The 18,896-nt window shown below is 43.6% G+C and overlaps 1 protein-coding gene and 1 long non-coding RNA gene across 5 annotated transcripts in view, besides 7 other annotated features; one reads left to right on the top strand and one right to left on the bottom strand.

The window, feature by feature from the left end:
* Positions 1-9,380, bottom strand: part of UBE2E1 (ubiquitin conjugating enzyme E2 E1) — an 85,686-nt gene extending 76,306 nt beyond the window's left edge. For 2 of the 4 annotated variants that reach the window (NM_001202476.2, XM_005265431.6), the window contains exons 1-2: positions 4,807-4,881; positions 3,825-3,875 (exon numbers count right to left, since the gene is read on the bottom strand). In NM_001202476.2, the coding sequence (NP_001189405.1) occupies positions 3,825-3,875; positions 4,807-4,859 (104 nt within the window). In that variant the 5' untranslated portion in view covers positions 4,860-4,881. Of the gene's footprint in view, positions 1-3,824; positions 3,876-4,806; positions 4,882-7,913; positions 8,099-9,246 lie in introns of those variants that run through there. The other 2 variants (NM_003341.5, NM_182666.3) reach the window with 2 other exon arrangements.
* Positions 4,423-4,742: a silencer, noted in NCBI's record as "silent region_14144". NCBI's record gives its function as "represses an Ori minimal core promoter by ATAC-STARR-seq in GM12878 lymphoblastoid cells {active_cell/tissue: GM12878}" and the evidence as "EXISTENCE:reporter gene assay evidence [ECO:0000049][PMID:35858748]".
* Positions 5,213-5,272: an enhancer, noted in NCBI's record as "active region_19601". NCBI's record gives its function as "activates an Ori minimal core promoter by ATAC-STARR-seq in GM12878 lymphoblastoid cells {active_cell/tissue: GM12878}" and the evidence as "EXISTENCE:reporter gene assay evidence [ECO:0000049][PMID:35858748]".
* Positions 7,865-7,954: an enhancer, noted in NCBI's record as "active region_19600". NCBI's record gives its function as "activates an Ori minimal core promoter by ATAC-STARR-seq in GM12878 lymphoblastoid cells {active_cell/tissue: GM12878}" and the evidence as "EXISTENCE:reporter gene assay evidence [ECO:0000049][PMID:35858748]".
* Positions 8,255-8,434: a silencer, noted in NCBI's record as "silent region_14143". NCBI's record gives its function as "represses an Ori minimal core promoter by ATAC-STARR-seq in GM12878 lymphoblastoid cells {active_cell/tissue: GM12878}" and the evidence as "EXISTENCE:reporter gene assay evidence [ECO:0000049][PMID:35858748]".
* Positions 8,430-11,311, top strand: UBE2E1-AS1 (UBE2E1 antisense RNA 1). Its single transcript, NR_046652.1, has 2 exons — positions 8,430-8,516; positions 10,621-11,311. It is a non-coding gene; the product is annotated as a UBE2E1 antisense RNA 1 (long non-coding RNA).
* Positions 8,635-8,934: a silencer, noted in NCBI's record as "silent region_14142". NCBI's record gives its function as "represses an Ori minimal core promoter by ATAC-STARR-seq in GM12878 lymphoblastoid cells {active_cell/tissue: GM12878}" and the evidence as "EXISTENCE:reporter gene assay evidence [ECO:0000049][PMID:35858748]".
* Positions 9,125-9,254: a silencer, noted in NCBI's record as "silent region_14141". NCBI's record gives its function as "represses an Ori minimal core promoter by ATAC-STARR-seq in GM12878 lymphoblastoid cells {active_cell/tissue: GM12878}" and the evidence as "EXISTENCE:reporter gene assay evidence [ECO:0000049][PMID:35858748]".
* Positions 9,335-9,444: a silencer, noted in NCBI's record as "silent region_14140". NCBI's record gives its function as "represses an Ori minimal core promoter by ATAC-STARR-seq in GM12878 lymphoblastoid cells {active_cell/tissue: GM12878}" and the evidence as "EXISTENCE:reporter gene assay evidence [ECO:0000049][PMID:35858748]".
* Positions 11,312-18,896: the final 7,585 nt, after the last annotated feature.

Raw genomic sequence — 18,896 nt, 5'->3', positions numbered from 1 at the left:
ATCAAAAGAAGGCTAAATGGAAATTCTGTCACATACAGAAAAACTAGTATCAGGGCCAGGCACCATGGCTCACGCCTGTAATCCCAGCACTCTGGAAGGGCAAAGTGGGTGGACGGCTTGAGGCCAGGAGTTTAAGATCAGCCTGGCCAATAGGTAAAACCTGGTCTCTACAAAAAAATACAAAAAATTAACCGAGTGTAGTGTCGAACGCCTGTAGTTCCTGCTACTTGGGGGCCTGAAGCAGGAGGACAGCTTAAGCCCAGGAGGTCAAGGCTGCAGTGAGCACCACTGCACTCCAGCCTGGGTGACAAAATGAGACCCTGTCTCAAAAAAAAAGTGAGAAAGAAAGAAATGTATTTTTATTATTCTCACCCATGCTTGAAGTGTTTAATGACTTTTCAGACATTTTATCCTAAAATAGCACCCCATCTGAATTTCTAGGTTAAGTCACTGAGACATTTACTCATGAAACAAATATATCCATTAAATAAAATCTGAAGTTTAAAGGACTTAGGCAAAATATGCCATTTAGTCTGTATAGACATACTGTCTACAGATATTCGTGTCTACAGGCTAGTTATAACTAGTCAATTTAGCAAAGTTTGAGCCCTGGGCTATAAATAACAGCTGCAAAACTGACTCTGGTGGCCCAGAGTTCATCAGCTATCTAAAAGGCATAATTTTACAATCTAAGATCTGGCACGCTTTAGGGAATCATTACAAAGTTAACATATTTTTTTCCCTAAAAGAATAGAGCTAAATGATATGGGAATAAAAGCCTAACCAAAATGAAGAGTGAGTTGGGAAACTATTTTGTGTGTGTGTGTATGCATATATATACACACACACACAAATCACAGATACTAAAATTAAGAATTTGATTTCTATGGCAACATAAAGCAGTTTGAAAATACTTACTTAAAATGACTTTGGACCAGGTCATTGAACACAATCTGTACTGTGTTCTAAAAAATATCCACCCAACATAATATACAACATTAAGAATTTAATTTTATGTTTTCATACATTATAACATATTGAGCAATTGCATTTCACATAAGTTTTGATGCTCAGTAACTTCAAATATTTTTGCCAAGTGCCAAAATTAGTGAACACAAACAGTGCACCTTCCTTCAAGAGGAGCAATTCTACTGATTTGCAATAATCAACTTTTTTTTTTGAGACAGGGTCTCACTCTGTCGCCCAGGCTGGAGTGCATCACCATGCCCGGCTAATTTTTGTATTTACTGAGAAGTTACTATGTGCCAAGTGCCATATTTTAATAACGTGTTTAAAACTACACACTGAATGCTGACTGAAGAAAGGAAGTATGGCAAAGGGTAAAAATATAAGACAGACTAATTGAAAACCAATTATTTAACTCATTCAAATCTCATGCTTTCATGCTGAGGGTAATTTTAAACATGTACGCACTTAATATATCACTTAATTCATAGATTTTCATTGGACGCTGACTTCAAAAAGTATCCCCAAGGCCAGGTGCAGTGGCTCACGCCCGTAACCCCAGCACTTTGGGAGGCCAAGGCGGGCAGATCACAAGGTCAGGAGTTCAAGACCTGCCTGGCCAACATGGTGAAACCCCATCTCTACCCAAAATACAAAAATTAGCTGGGCATGGTGGCACGTGCCTATAATCCCAGCTACTCAGGAGGCAGGAGAATTGCTTGAACCAGGACCCGGGAGGTGGAGGTTGCAATGAGCCGAAATCATGCCACTGCACTCCAGCCTGGGCTACAGAGCAAGACTCCGTCTCAAAAAGAAAATAAATAAATAAATAAATAAATAATCCATCTTTATCTCCAATAAAGTACATTAAAATACTAAATAATTAAATTCCAAAAGGTAACAGCACAAAACGTAAAACCGAACTCTTTTAAGAGAGCTGAATATTGGGACTACTATATAACATTAAGACAGCACCATTAGCCAACCAAAAGTAAAAATTTTAATTCACATTACTCAAACGGCCCCACTGGAAAATATCTTCAGAAAATAAAGTCATCTTTATTGTTAAAAGACAATGTAATATACATTCTCTTGCAAAATGAAGATGCCTCGTATTTTCTCTCAAATCAGAGATTTTTCTTAAAATTTAGTATTTTGAGCTTTGACTCCGTAACACCAATCACCCAACAGCCACCCAGTTTGGTGCATCCCCTGACCACAGGTAATTCCCAAACGTTTCACCTTGAAGGGGTAATTGGGAGGGTTTCCCAAAGATAAAAAAGTTCCACATGCCTCAGGAGCATAAATCTTTCACACATAAACTCAGTTAAAACGATGTGAAACTGAAGTGTACTTACACTGTTTTTTTTTTTTAAATGCTTAATCCCATGAAAATCTTCAAATGGTTTACAATTTTAGATTTGACTGTGCTTATTCACAAGAAAGCCATTATATGTTTTAATCAATGTTATTAATAACACACACATAGGAGACACACAATACCAAGCAGGAGCAATAACTAGACAGCACAGAACCACCTTGGGGAATGTACATGGATTCCACACAAACAACCAAGGGAAGCTACAGGCTTCCACGTGAACCACCACCATCAAAATAATGAGTTAGGCCTAAGTCTTATGGTTTTTCCACTTCTCAACCATCTTGAGAGATTATTAGCCAGGAAAGAATTCCCCAGAATGATTAAGTGTTCCAATTATAAACTATAGTTTAAGAGCATTTCAAACTCAAAATGACTTTCCTTACAAAACAGGACAAAGTTTCACGGAAGAGCATCCCACACCTAATCAACATTAAGAATGAATGTAACCAAAACGGCAATAGTTTTGTATTTAATCCACTAATTAGTTTCCAAAGTTCACTGTTACTAAACAAAATACTTCATTTAGCTTTTCAACCTATTCCCACACACTCATCTTAAAAATTGTGTATAGCCGCTGAATACTTTGTCAGTAACTTCTACTCCTACCAATAAGTTTAGAGTATTTCTGAAATCTCACATCCCTTTCCAACGCCGATCTTGAGAACTAGGTTAAATGTTATACTTAATTTTTAAAGTATGGGAGTTACAGGACCTCCCTTAAATAAATGGTTCTATTCTAATACATAGTTGTAAGTTACCCTCACTTCATTGTTGATCTAGTAAAGTCATCAAGTCTTCCACCTTGACTCAACAGTAGCAAAATGGCTTCTCTAAATAAAGCTGTGATCAACAAACCCTTAGAAAGCTGGTTTCAATTTGTTTTGAAACTGAAACACACATATGTATACAGTCTGAATAAAGCAAGTGAAAAAAACACCCCATGAAAGTTTAACTCTACAATTTAAAAGAAAACCTTTATCAAAGCCAGAAATTGTTTCCTGAATTGCTCTGCCAAAAGTCTAATAAAAAATCTATATGCTATGGAGTAAGTTTGAAGATCCAGTGTTTAACTCTAATGTTCTCTTAGCTTAGCAGAGATTGAATAAGAGATTACTGTAGCAAAGCAGTTTTCCAAACCAAAATGTCCTTCGCATCTGAAAGGTTTTACATCATCTTTAATGGCATATCAAAGACCCATGATTAGGCAAGGAGACACCTTTAAATTTACTTTAGTTTTGTTTCATATATGTAAAAATCCACTCCAAATAAATCCATTACTTCTTCTCAACAGTACTGAGCTTGTCAGAGGCTCATCAAAACATTATACTCAGGTTAATAAATTTCAGCTGTTACGTGATGTTAGTGCCATAACAAGCATTAGCCAAAGAATCAAAGAAAAAGTATATAATAAAAAGAAAAACCCAAGACAAAGGTTAGAAGAATTTTAAAAATGGAAAAAATCCGAAAAGCAACTCACCTGCAATTAGGTGGAGGGTCTAAAGTGATGTCCGCCAGCTCCTTCTGAATTCTGGAGTGGGAGAAATGGGAAAGACAAACACAAGAAGCATTAAGGCGCGGAAGCCTCCCACCTGTAGCGTGCAGGTCTGCAGATAAACCTAAGCGCGATCACTGGATTCTACTGGGCAAAGAGGAACTACACATCAAGAACTTCAGGTCCCTAGTTTAGGAAAAAAACTTTTCACGGAGGAAGTGAGGCAGCCTGGAATCTCCTGTTCTCATCTGCAAAGTTTGGCTTCCAACCTTGCCTCGCACACCAGGGCAGTTCTATTCCTCGGTGTTTTCCATGTAGGACCTAATTTTAAAGTTTCTCACTTGCCGACCGGTTTCCTCAGTCCCTCCCCTGCACCTCTCCCCAGCACGGAGAGATCACAGCCATCGGTGCGTGGGAAGGACGCCAGCCTCCAGCCTCCCTTGCCCCTTTCACCCCTCAGATGCCCCCATGCCCACCCCGGCAGGGCGCCCCCGACAGGCCGAAGGTCCGAGGCCTCGCTCAACACCCGACCCGCCCGGAGTCCTCAGTGACGAAGCCAACATGGCCGCTCCCCACGAGGCCCCTCGGGCCCGAGTGACCTGCCAGCCGTGGCGGGGTGCCCGGGAGGCCCAGACCGCAGGTCGCTCCCCAGCGGTGGGCTGCCACCGCCCGGCCACGCCGCCCCCACCCCGCGCGCGCCCCCGACGGCTCGCGCCGCGCCGGTGAAGTTGCGGGCGGGGGAGGGGAACAGGGTGCCCGCACGGGGGCTGCTCCGCGCCGCCCCAGCTCTCCTCTCCCGGCGCCCAGAACCTTGGCCCGAGACCGCGCGCGAAAGCAGGGCGCGAACACCCCCGCCCGCCACTCGGGCACCACAGACCCCAAGTGGCCGGCCCGCGGCCGCACAGGTGCACCGGACCCTGCCTCCGCCCCGCACGCTGGCCGGGACTCTCGGCCCACCTCCCCGGACCTGCTTTTCCCCGGGCGTCCTCTAACTTCCCGGGGTCTGCCCACTTCCTTCATGGTCCGCTCTCTAGCTCACACTGGGGATAGACTGGAGACCTGCAGTTTTCTCCCTCCGCACCAACCCTCGACTTCACAAAGGGCCCCATCCCCCACTCATAGGCCGAAGCCACCAGGCAGTTCACACCAAGCCCTGGCCTTTGTCTTTTGCTTACCTAGGCACTTAGAGCATCAATTAATACGACAGTTTAGGGCCTCTAAGCTTCTTCCACCTTCTAAACGGTGCCTAATTTTATAACCTTTCCTCCTCCTATCATATAAAGCCCAATGGGGCTATGTTACAACTTAAAAATCTCACCGAGGCAGCACTGTAGTTAAAAAAATTTTAAACACACACACAGAGCAATCTAATTCACAAAGGATACGTTTTCCTTTCCAAAGGTTTTCTGCGGGTAGGAGGACGGACGAGCTATATGTAATGAGGAACAGGTTTTAAGGACGACGACTGGGGGAGGTTCTATAAACCTTCCTACTGGAGGACATTTCCTGTCCCTACGTATCTGTCAACTTTAGAAAGGGGTTTGTTCACAATCTCAATTGACACGTATTTGTGTCCTGCTAAATTCTACTATCAAAAAGCGTTTCATTTCTGAGACATTCATACTCCCGCTGTTTGACTCATGACTGTACATTAGACTCAAAGTTTGGAAAATTGGTTTCCTGATTCTTTACCTGAATCTTTTCAAATAACTGTATTTTAAGACCTACACACGTAGGCAAAAATTTCCTCCCCGGAGCACAACGCATATAAAAATACATATTGACTTCAGTCCTCCTTGCCAACCCAACTCCCACTATAAAATAGTCACAAAAAAAGGTAGTTGTTTCTTTAATACCTAAGAAGCGTTAATACCAAAAAGCTTTATCAACTTCATCTTGACAGACAGCATTTGCATTTCCAAAAAACTGGCAAGAGATTTGCAGGAGTAACTCATACCTATTTCCAGAGAGTCATTCTTGTTCAGACCACTTGCAATGGGGGCTTTCCTCTACCCACGGTTTAGAAACCACTTTCCAACATGCAGTTAGCAGCCTGTTAGTCTGCCAATTCAGGCTTCTTTTTCACTCCTACTCCTGGTGAATGTGCCCCTTCCAATTCTATGGGCAACACCTACCTTCCAAATCAATATACTTCACAGAACAGCCTCTATAGGGTCCCACTAACATCAATTTTCCCCATTCTCTTTCCTGGATACACTGTCCCTCTCCATTTTTTTACCTTTTTCTATTAACTTTAGGTCTGCTTTAACACTAATAGCTACTCTTTCAGCAAGATTATCAAGGAGCTAAATTCATTGCAAAAACAAAACAAAAGCCCTGATGTTAATTTATAGGTAAAATTACTATTTGTAGCTTCCCACCTTTCATTTTTCTACACCTATCATCTCTTTTCCAGAACTTCCAAATAAATTCTTAACTTGTTTAAAATAAACAAAGTATGTCTAGTGAAAAAAATCCCCCTCTCTGTAATTCACTCACAACAAAAGCAGAGTATTTTCTATTTGATACCTGTGTCTTTACCCCCAAATATATTCATGTACACCAGGGATATCTAGCAAAATATAAAAATGCAAATTACCAAAAGCAAGTATCCTGGCTTGAGCACGTGAGGCCAAAACGTGAATGAGGATCAGAGAGCCTAGAGGATTGAGGTGGGGCGCAGTATTAAGGAAGGGCCCGTCCCAAGTGGGCAGAGTAGATGTCAGGTTCCAGGAAAACCGCACAGGGCTAATCAGTGAGGGTCAGTCAGGCCTCCTGAGAAGCTGTACAATCAAACCAAACCTATAAAAATGAGAACAATCTTGCAGAGGCACCTTGCCACTTAAGACCTCCACACTATTTTTTAAAAGTCACTCCTTCATCAGCCCATGGTTAGGTCACCAAAACACTGCCAAGTTTTCAAATTACAAGTCAGGGAGAATGACAGAACAAACTCTCAAACCCTGACTTCCAGGCTCACTACTCAGTGGAGAGATCTAAAGTCTCATGTTCTACTTTATTTTAAAAATTTTTAAGAAGGGTATCCCTATCCCATCATTTGGAGTTCTTACTATCTTCCTGGTTTGCCACCTTTTTAACAACTGCCTAACTCTGAGAGCAGAAGGATTTATGAAAGGGTGTCTCAGAGCTCCTAGGAATCCACTAAAGATGATTTTGAGGGTCATGGCGATCAGAGGATATTACTGAAGGATGGCAGGGGTAAAAAGTAGCTACCTCCAGAGGCTTAAGAGGAAAAGAATAAAGAAAAAGGGTGACCGCTTAGGATGGCAGGGATAAAAAGTAGCTACCTTCAGGGCCTTAAGAGGAAAAGAATAAAGTAAAAGGGAGACCACTTAAATTGAAAAAATAAGGCAAAGTAACATTTTCACAGCATGAGGACAGCAAATAGCATGAAAAAAAGACAAGTCTCCCTGAAATTGGTAAACTGAAGTTTTTAAAGAGAACCACAAAAATAACCTAGAATAACCATTTTATAGTCACTTACTGATTCATTCATTTGCCTCAACTCTCAGAAAAATCTCTTTAAATTCCACCAGAAAACATCTGTCTTCACCTACTAAATTTTGTACCTGCTAATATGAGTTTCTTATTCCTTATGCAATTTGTGAAGAAAGCTCTATTTAGAAAAGATCATCCATGCAACAGGTGAGGAGAAGGTAAAATGGTCACAGAATTCATTTTGATGCAGTTCTCTGGGCTGGTATTAGTAATTAAGAAATGGGATCATGGCCTTGGGGAAGGTCACAGATTAACCATTAGTAGGACAAGAAATCTGAAATCAGATTTGGGGGTCACTAATAAAAGTAACGAGGAATCTTACAAACTTCAGCAAGAAATGCGAGAGGCAAGCCGCAACAGCTGCATGTGAGCAATGATTTAAAAACAGAAGCAGCAATAGAGAAAATAATTAGGGCTTCCAAGGCCCTTCTTTCATTTTTAAGAACACATAAACCATGAGGAGCGTTTAAGCTATCCTCATTGGGAGGCAGACCAAATGCAGCAAGAGGCAGTTCGGAAATAGGAAGCCTGTGGAAAAAAAAAAGAGCACAGTACCTCTTGGCGCTGGTGGAGAGGAGTTTGGAGTTTTTGCTCATGCTGACTTTACTCTCCTTCTTCTTGGGGGTGTTTGTTTCTTTCTCGGTTTGCTGGTTGGAAGACGAAGATGAGGAGGAGCTGGTGCTGGCCCTCGAATCGTCATCCGACATAGCGAACCCCCCACCCCACCCCGCAAACAGCCCCTGCAGGGGGAGAGAAACAAAACAGAAACACACAAACCATGCAGCCAGTGTAAATAAGGAACTCGGGTGCTGTCAGGAGGGCATTGACCAGGGGCGCACGCGGCCGCCCACCGCCCTCCACTCGCTTTTCAAAGTCTGCAGGCCCATTAAGGCTTTTGCAAATCGGACGCGGCTTGTTTATTTTTGGCCCCAAGTGGGGAACGCTGTGGGAAAACGGTCTGGAGCTAGGAGAGAGGCCCCTCCCTCGCCCCCCGGGGCTCTCCGCTGGGCAGGGAGGGAGTAGCCCGGGAGGCGAAGGAGGGCAGGGCGGGGGGCGCGGGGCGCCACGGCGGGGCAGGGAGGGAAGGTCCCGGCGGCCGGCCGGCCTCGGGGCTGTTTTTGTCCGCTTTCCGGGGGTCGTGAGGGGCCGGTGGCCCGGGTGAGACTGTGGGGCCACGAGCGGAGTTTGGCGAGGTCGGGAAGAGAGGAGGGGCGGGAAGGAGTAAGAGAGGAAGCCGAAACAGGGGGACGGAGGCGGGGAGCGGGTGCCCGGGTGGGGGAAGGGAGAGGCCGGCGGGGGGCAGGGGCGACGAGGCCCGAGGCCCCCCCGCGCCGCGCCCCGACGCCCCTCCCGGCCTGCCTGCCTCTGGCCGCCCTGCTCACAGCTATGCGGCCGGGCGGGGGTCCGGAGCACACGCCCGATCGCCACTCCTGTAGGGGGATAGGGGCTGCGGCGGGGAATGGGGGGGTCGGCCTCCGCAGCGAAGACATAACAATGAGCCCTTCCGCCCCGGAGGGGTTAATCCCCGCGAACCCCCGCCCCTGGGGAAAACGGGGCTCCCCCAACTCCCTCCCACCCCCGCTCCCGGGCCCCTCGGTGGCCAGTGGGGGGCTCTTGGGGCAGCGCTGACAGTTCGAGCCACAATGACCCCCGTCCTCAATGCGGGCGGCCCCCGCACCCCACGCGGCCCGGGGTCCCTGCCCATCCCCCGCGGGCGGGCCCCGGACCCCTGGGGCTCCCCAGCCCCTCTCCGCTCCCCCCCCGCGCCGGCCCCGTGCCCTGCGGCCCGGCGGCCCCGGCGGCGCGAGTCGGGGGAGGCGGCGAGGGGTGTCCCCGAGGCCCGGCGGCGCGGCCGGGGGGCGGCGGGCCGCTGGGGGGATCCCCGTACCTCTCTTTGTGTCTGGCTCCTCCGTGCCGCCGCGGCGGCTGCTGCTGCGGCTGCGGCTGGGCCTGGCCACTCGTGTCTCTCTCTCGCTGGGAGAGAAGCGGAAGTGCAGCAACAGCAACTATTAAACAGGCAATGGCTTCCCCCAGCCACACACGCTCGCACACACACCACTCCTCCGCCGCCGCCTCCTCCTCCTCCTCCTCCTCGCCCTCACCCCTCCCCCACCCGGCCCGGTCCCACCCACCCGCGCTCCCCTCCCCCTGCAACACCTCCTGGGGGTGCGCGAGGAAGACCCAGGAGACCCCAGGAAACCCTGTCCCCCACAGACACCCCCACCCCAGCGCCTCCTCCGGACGCCCGGGAAGGGGGCGAGGGTTGTGAATTTTCTCTTAAGTGGTTTGGGAACCTGGATTCTGGGCGGGAGAGGGGAAGCCGATGGAGATGGGGGGCGCTGGGAGTGATTGGAACTAGATGGAATAGGGGGGTCACGAGAGAAAGTTCTTTCCAATGAGGGCTTTTGGAAAGGAGAGGAGTAGGGAGGTGGCAAATTGGTGAAAACGTTGGTAATCTGGTGGTGGCAAAGACTTTAGAGAATGCAGCGGGTACTCCACCTAAAAAGCGATTAAAGAGAAAAAAAAAATCACACAACAAGGGTTTTCTTTGGACTGACACTTGCTTCTCCTTCTAGCAATTTACCTGCTAGGAGCAGAGGTCAGTTTAGGTATGCCTGTGAGAAAATCCCAAACTAGGAATTTTCTGCTCAGGTCACGCGAGGCACGTGCAGTTTTACAATATTAGATTCTTCCACTCACTTTTTATAGAAAGTGATGTGGTTTTTTATAAGAGTGATACAAAGGTTTTGGTGACAGGTAAAACCAACGTGTAACGGGCTTGCGAATGTGAGACATCACTGGGAATAAGCTATATACTACTGAATTAGACTGGATTTAGAATTTTTTGTGTCATTTTACATTAGATGTAAGGTTTGGTTTTTGGAAATTGGATGCAAAGTTCTGGGGATCGCAGAATCCCCAGATCGCTAAATTGACCAAATTATTTTTAAAATATTAAGCCATTTTTCTCTTTCTTTAGCTACCTATAAATGCTATGCAAATAATATTTTTGAAATGATCAGCAATTCTTCTGAATTGTTCCTTATTTAGCATTTTTGCCAATTTTTTTTTAATATTAAGCCATCAAATTACGATTCAGTTTCTCACCTTTTGTCATTTCAGTTGAAGGGAACTAAAGAGATGTGTGCCATTCAAATACAACAGTGCCACACATACAAGGTCTTGTACATTAAGGAGACAGCCTCAGATTTCCATAGGTCACTCTAAATTATCTCATTCAAACTGCCATCATTTTCCACAGCAACAGTGGCTTCAGTTACCACAGGACAACACAAGATATACAGCCCATGGCATATCCAGTAACCAGGAAAACAAGCATTCTCACGACCCAGCCGAACTCCTTCTAACCATCAACCTGAAATTCCAGCTTTATCAAGACTCATAAAGTAATTGTGCATGCTTCTTGCTCAATCCCTACCAGGAAACCTGTATCTACCAGGAGTTGTCATAGAATAAGAAGTTCAAAAGCTGGAAGAAATCTTCAGGGTCATAATTTCAGCCTCCTGCTTCCAGACAGAACTATTTCTCCACCACTGAAATGCATATAGATTTTGAAAAAATTTCCAGACATAACCTTTCTTAAGTGTTTGGTTTCAGGAGTCCTGGTAGAGTATATAAAAATGATGACATTCTTTGCTATATATTTGAAAAAATTTTTTAAACTTCTGAAAAACTGATTGTATTCTTTTTGTTCTGATGAAAAGATGTAAATTCAGAAGAAAACAATAAGAAGATGAAATAAACTCAGGATGAGGAAAATAATCTAAAAATAGTTATTAAAATTGAAATTTCCTCCTATGAAAATTTGGATTTCTGATACTTAAAAATATATGTCTACATTATGAATACAACCAGTAAAAAAATCATGTGTTATAAAGACAAGAACTAGCAGAGATCACAGGAAAATAAAAGGTTTGATTTGCTGAAGTGATCAGGACAGTAGGTGAATTTTTTCTTTAATATTGGTTTGCATAAATTGCCTACCAGCTATAATAAGAATTCTTTTGTAACAGAACATGATATTTTGTGTTGTGTTACTGATGCTTGGGTTGGACTGATTCCTTGTGAAAGAAATCATGAAATCTAACAGCTCCTCCTATAAGGAAAAGTGATTTCCCAACCACCTGTCTGGAAGGTTTCTTGCCCTCTTTTGTGTACTGTTCCCCCTAATCTCTAATTCCAGCTAGCTTAAGTTAGTGCTTTATCGTTTTGGAATGACCTGATGACAGGGAATAAAAACTTCAAAATGTTTAGAAAAGAATCCAGTCCTCTCAAAAGACTAATCTTTATGTCGAATTATTTTTAAGACCTGTATGCAGCTGTCTTAGGGGAAAAAAAATTCATACACAACTTTCTATCTCTCCTTCTTATTAACTACAAGGCCTAAAAAGCTAAATTGACCTCCCTGAGCCTCAGTTCCCTCATCCATAAAGGGCAGAAATACCTGTGCTCTACTGACTGGCAAGGTCAAATATGTATCTGTAAGTAAGGTGATTTATTAGCTGTTACGCAAAGTAAATTATTAATAATTCCACTCTAGTGGAATTTTCTTAGTTCATGGGTTTGGGGTTATTTGTTGCTTTTATGTTTTTGTTTTTCGTCACCAGGGCAGAAAAGAGGACATGGGGTTTTTATAACTTAGAATTGATGAAAATATAAGAAACCTTCCAGGAGAAACATATACTCAAGGAATCATAGTATTTTATGCCTAGAAGGGGCCTAAGATATCTTCTAGTTCACACTCTTCATGTTACAGATAAAGAAATCAAAGCAAAGAAAGTTATGTTGGCCGGTATGTTGGCCGGGCGTGGTGGCTCATGCCTGTAATCCCAGCACTTTGAGAGGCCAAAGCAGGTGGAACACGAGGTCAGGAGATTGAGACCATCCTGGCCAAGATGGTGAAACCCCGTCTCTACTAAAAATACAAAAATTATCTAGGCTTGGTGACATGTGCCTGGAATCCCAGCTACTCGGGAGGCTGAGGCAAGAGAATCTCTTGAACCAGCGAGTCTTGATTGGAGGTTGCAGTGAGCCGAGATCGCGCCACTGCACTTCAGCCTGGGGACAGAGCAAGACTCTGTCTCAAAAAAAAAAAAAAAAAAAAAAAAAAAAAAGCCAGTATGTCTTATCCAAGGTCATGCAGTAAGTTGGTGGCAAAATTGTTGTTATGACCCATGCTATCCACAGATGATCTTGTCAGTTCTGGCAATATTGGAGTGGGAGAAGAGCCTCAATTACATTGCAGAAAAATGTATTAAATATAAAAGGGCCGGGTGCAGTGGCTCACGCCTGTAATTCCAGCACTTTGGGAGGCCAAGGCAGGCAGACTCCTTGAGCCCAGGAGTTCAAGACCAGCCTGGGCAACATGGCAAGACTGTCTCTACAAAAAATGCAAAAATTAGCCAGGCCTGGTGGCACATGCCTGTGGTCCCAGATACTTGGGAGGTTGAGGTGGGAGAATCACCTGAGCCCCAGAGGTTGAGGCTGCAGTGAGCTGTGATTGTGCCACTGTACTCCAACCTGGGTGGTGGGAGTGAGACCCTGTCTCAAAATAAGTAAATAAATAAAATAAATATAGTAGTCTCTGATAATATTTTCGAGAATATATTAACAATCAAGACAGCTGGGAAAGTGGGAACATGGAAGCAAGCTAAGGGAATCACTGAATTTGTAACATGGTTGCTTGAACTAATGACTGCTATTGAAGTTCCCCAACCCCACCCTCATCCTGAGAATAGTCCTCATTATTTATTTATTTTGCCTATATGGATATATTTTAAATAGATAATACATTTTCATGCTATATTATTCTAAAGAAACCAGAGAGTATGCCACGAAAATATCTTTCTGCCCCTTCCCCCACCCCTAATTTCCTTTGGAGAAAGCAGTTTTCGGTTGTAGTCTATGCATGTGTAAAGCAAATGCATACATATGCACTGAATGCTTTGATAGTAATGCTCAATTTACATTTTAGAAAACCAGCCAGTCACAGAAGCCCAAGTAGTATTACACTGTGACATCCTGTGGACTTTGAGAAAGTGGGCTCCAGTTTTTATTAATACCTATTCCTGGTTTTCAGAATGACCCAACTCTCCTTCAAGTCATCTTTAGTGTATCAAGTACATTTAAGTAGAAACACTTGAAGATCAAGGTGCTAGTTGATCCCTAGGAGGTGAAATAATACAGTTGAAAGAGGGAGACTTGGTTTAACTTTTTGACTTGTTGCTTACACTGAAATTCAAGTATTTCATAAAGATTCTCTTTGGCCAATTTCATGTCCAAAGAATTGTCAAGCAAGTTAACGTTGGTTAATATAGTTTTTTAACTTACCTTATTGCTGAATAGAAAGGATTTCCTTTGCTGGGCGTGGTGGCTCACACTGGTAATCCCAGCACTTTGGGAGGCTGAGGTGGGCGGATCACCTGAGGTCAGGAGTTTGAGACCACCCTGGCCAACATGGTGAAACCCCGTCTCTACTAAAAATACAAAAATTAGCTGGGTGTGGTGATGAGTGCCTGTAATCCCAGCTACTCGGGAGGCTGAGGCAGGAGAATCTCTTGAACCCAGGAGACAGAGGTTGCAGTGAGCCGAGATCATGCCATTGCACTCCAGCCTTGGTGACAGAGTGAGACTCCATAAAAAAAAAAAAGAAAAAGAAAAGATTTCCTTTTTCCATCCAAAGAAAAAAAAATCTTGTGTTTGCAACTTATAAAGAATTTATATAAAGCCTTTCTGGGAAAAATGGACTCACTGGATTTCAATCGACTTGTTTCATTTTATAATTCTCCTTTGGCTGAAAAATCCATTCCTTGTAAGAAAGATAAGGAAAGTTCAAAAACAAGGGTCGATTCCATAAAGACGAATGTGATCTGGGGCATTTACCTTCAATTTGGGTCATTTTTCCATAGGCCTTTTAAAAAAAATAAAATAGCACTGATCCCATTGAAGGGCCCTAAGCACTATCGTACTTTATTGGCCTGAATGTTGCTAACACAGGAAGGTAGGACAGAGCTAAATTATTTTTTTCTACCACATGGAGGCATTGAACAACCATGTGATTTTCAAAATTTATCAAGACTTGGTAAGAGTCTAATGTTGTCTCAGGCAAGGGCAAAAAGGTTGATTTGATGTCCACAAAAGGATAGTGATTAGTATGAAAGTACTCTTCTCAGTTTATAATGTAGCATCTCCTCTGTAGGACCTATTTTTTAAACAAACTAGCCTTCTTCAACTTTCTATACATTGATCACACAAGAATAGACTATATTAGAATATGTAGGATTATAATTTGAGCAGTTTGGTTCATTAGTCTCTGAAACCTTTTCCTGAATTGAACACTCTTCCAGTTTACTGAAATTTGGAGGAATAAAATAGTAGGGAATAAATATTTTTATTTCATGTTCTTAATTATCTATTGTGAAACTTTTAAAAAATATCAACTTCTCCACAGTTCCATGGTGTGGCAAATCTATAGTCAAGGATCCAATTTGAATCCAAAATTTACCTCAATAATTGTAAACCCCAGAAGCAATTGGCAGCAAAGATACCAATCTCGACTTGCTAAGCCTACAGGACAAGTTCTGTCTTTGCCACTGATTGAACTCATGGCTGTGCCTCAAATAAATTAATCAACAAATATTTATTAATTAGTCTGTGTAGGCTAAGTACAGTGCTAAGTGCTATGACAGATGTAAAAAGTTGTTTCTTTTTTTTCTTTTCTTTTTAGAGACAGGGTCTTGCTCTGTCACCCAGGCTAGAGTGAAGTGGCTCAATCATAGCTCGCTGTAACCTCAAACTCCTGGGATCAAGCAATCCTCTTGCTTTGGCCTCCCCAGTGGAGTCACTGGGATTACAGGCATGAGCTACCACACTGGACCCAAGATGTAAAGAGTTCCAAGAGGTACCCTCTGGCCTCCAGTAAGGACCAGAGGAAAAGGGATTAGAGCTGAGCCTAGAACGACAAGTAGGGCTTGGGAAAATGAAGAGACATTCTCAGGTATTGAAATGACGTTGAAAATGATGTGGAAAAACATCAGACCTGAAATAGACTATTATTAAAATATAAAATTACATATATATAAATTATAAACTGTAAAATATATTATCAAAATAGTATTTTATTAGAAACAAAAAGAAACTGGCCTTTATTCTTTAAAAGCATCACTGGCATGAAAGACAAGGAAAAATTGAGACTTTAGATTAAAGGAGACTAAAGAAGCACAAGAACTAAATATAATATGTGATCCTGATCAGACACTGTACTGAACGGCAAAAAAATTATGAAGAACAGAATTGGGTCAATTGAAAAAATTAGAGTATGGAAGTTAGATTAAAGTATTGTATCAATGTTAAATTTCCTGAAGTTGATAACTATATGAAGAATATTTTTGCTTTTGGGAAATAGACACTGAGCTATGAAGGTGTAAAGGCACGTGATATCTGCAAACTATTTCAAAGAGTTAAAAAATGTTACTAATTGGTAAATCTGGGTAAAGGGTATATGGACGTTTTCTGTATTATTTTTGTGACTTTTCCATAAGTTCAAAACTTAAAAAATATAAATATGTAGTTACCTCAGAGGAAATGAAACGGAGTGGAATGAAGGAGAGATTGCTAACTCATTACATATTTCTGTATCATTTCTTAAAATAAATGTGCATTACTTTAGTATACTTTTAAAATCCAACCACTGAATCTTTAAAGAACAAAAAATATCTATGGAAGCAGAAAAATGCAGAAAGCGATTAGGAAGACCATGAATAGACTAATTTGGTTGAAAGACTCAGAAAACTAAGTGAACAGAGAGGAAGAAGGATGAAAAGTAGGTACCAAGAGCTTGTGGAGGGGCTCAACAGTGAGCTAAGAAGCCTGGATTTCATTACAGGATAAAAAGTACAAGGGATAAACATTACAGGCATTTTAGCCTCTGGGTATTTTAAGAAGATTAGTTTGATAGAAAAGCCAGAAAGGAGTCAAGGAAACCAAGGAAAGACGCCATTGAGGAAGTCTAGGCTTGGGGAAGCAGCTCCTAATTCCTAATTCTCCGTACTTATTTTAATTAATCACTGTTTAATGTTGAAGCTCTGGGAATCTAAGTCCCATGTTAGAGAATTTGTCTGCTTAGAACTGTTTTTAGAACAGTGCTTGGCCCTTAGTAGGCATGCAAGAAAAAGTTAACCAAGGTAGGGAATGAAAGATATCCTTGCCTTTAGTACTATTCCTTTCTTTCTCTTTTCCCCATCTCTTCTGATGTTCCGTGATTCATGCATACATGATTACACCATCAAGCAGTTGACAAGGAACGTGTGGGTGGGTGTTGTTCACTGAAAGAGGGTGGGTGACCCCAAGGTGAAGCCTAAAGTGACCGCCACCCCCCAACCCCCAGCATTGTAAGGAATTAAAGCCTTGACATCAGAGTCACAGAATTCCAAACCGGAAGAACTCTAGAGACCATCAGGTGTTCCCCGTTCTTTTGACAGTTGAAGACACTAAGGTGCAGGAAGAAAGGATGAGTTTTCTGAGGTCAGGCAAGTAGGTAGCAGCAGAACCGAGACCTTTCCCTTGAGGGAACCAAAGTTGACTATGGGGACTTGTGGAATCCACATCTCTATACTTCAAGCATGGAGCAGCAGGCAGGGACTACAGAAGCAAGAGGAAAGCTCCATGGAGGCATGTTCTCATTCTATCTACCCAGCTACTACTGCTTTCCAGGATCTGGGCTGTCTCATAGTCTTTGATGTCCACCCAGTAGTGAGCATTGGGCTGGACACACACACACACACACACACACACACACCCCTTGTTTCCTGAATTACTTAACTGAAAGTTAACCTAAGGCTGGGCGTGGTGGCTCAAGCCTGTAATCCCAGCACTTTGGGAGGCTGAGGCAGGTGGATCACAAGTTCAGGAGTTCGAGACCAGCCTGGCCGATATGGTGAAACCCCGTCTCTACTAAAAATACAAAAATTATCTGGGCATGGTGGCGTGTGCCTGTAGTCCCAGCTACTCCGGAGGCTGAGGCAGGAGAATGGCTTGAACCTGGGACGTGGAGGTTGCAGTGAACCTAGATCACACCACTGCACTCCAGCCTGGGTGACAGAGCAAGATTCCGCCTCAAAAAGAAAAAAAAAAAAAAGAAGCCCACACAGATACTTTCCCAACGTGATTGAGAGGATAGAAGCAAAGATTCCTACATCCCCTTTTCATCTCTGACTTTAGTCATCTTGAAAAGTCTCTTCAGATCTTGGTGAAGTAGTAGGAAACAGGAAAATGGTGAGCGTAATCACTTTGGTTTTGTGGCTGAAACTACACACATCACCACTGGGTTCTCCACAGATTGTCAGGGGCAGAAACTTAAGCAGTATCCTTGCCCCCTTTTCCCCATTGCTTCGTTTTTCTCCACTCCTCCATCCCAGAGAAGAGCCCAGCTCAGGGTAGTTATGAGAATGAACAGACCTGAGTTTTCATACCTGCCTTGCTGCTTACTGGCTACGCATCCTTGGAAAGTTATAAAATCTGCCTGAAACTTTGTTGCTGCATATGTAAAACTGGGAAAATAAAACTCACTTCATAAGGTTTTTTTGAAGGGTAAATGAGAAACATCTGTAAAATGCTTAGTCCTGTTCCTGGCACGGCCTAACTACCCAATAAATAGTAGCTGTTGGCCCGGCGCGGTGGCTCACGTCTGTAATCCCAGCACTTTGGGAGGCCAAGGCAAGGCGGGTAGATCACGAGGTCAGGAGATAGAGACCATCCTGGCTAACATTGTGAAACCCCCGTCTCTACTAAAAATACAAAAAAAATTAGCCGGGCGTGGTGGCGGGCGCCTGTGGTCCCAGCTGCTTGGGAGGCTGAAGCAGGAGAATGGCTTGAACCCAGGAGGCGGAGCTTGTAGTGAGCCGAGATCGCGCCACAGCACTCCAGCCTGGGCAACAGGGCGAGACTCCGTCTCAAAAAAAAAAAAAAGTAGCTGTTACCAGTCCAGTCTAACATGTCTCCTGGCCTAACGTATTGTTTCAACGTTCAGTTCAGCGACCTTTCTTTGGCTGATCCAGAGTTGCTAAGAATGAAAGCTTTAGTTACTACAAGAATGCATGCAGCCGAATCTCACTTATATACTATTTTGTGTTGTTTCCTGCTGGTCAAGAAGTTGCAAGCAAAGGGAGGCCAGGATCCCTGCTGTATTCCAGCTCCACCCCAGTGCCAAGCTCATTCCTGGAGCTGAGTAACCACCTGTTGATTGATTATTACACTGACAAGGGCCCTGAAAGAGCATGAACAAACAGGTAGGTCAGAAAACATCTGGGGTTTGCCCAGAAATGTTCCCCTCTAAATGAGTGAATCAGAATGGCCCATGTACGTGATGCTTCTGCTTAAGTTGTTCTGGAAAACTATCAAGAGAAGGATGTTTTCAAAGGATTTATGTCCATTACTGGAATTAATTCTCTTTCTCTTTAGATGGAAGGATAGTCCAGCCTCTTAGAAATGTTAAATCGAGAGATCTAAAAAACAGCTGGC

This window comes from Homo sapiens, chromosome 3 (assembly GCF_000001405.40).
Source record: "Homo sapiens chromosome 3, GRCh38.p14 Primary Assembly".
In the NCBI taxonomy this organism is placed as follows: Eukaryota; Metazoa; Chordata; class Mammalia; order Primates; family Hominidae; genus Homo; species Homo sapiens.
Note: the sequence above shows the minus strand (reverse complement) of the source record. Positions and strands in the feature narration are given on the sequence as shown.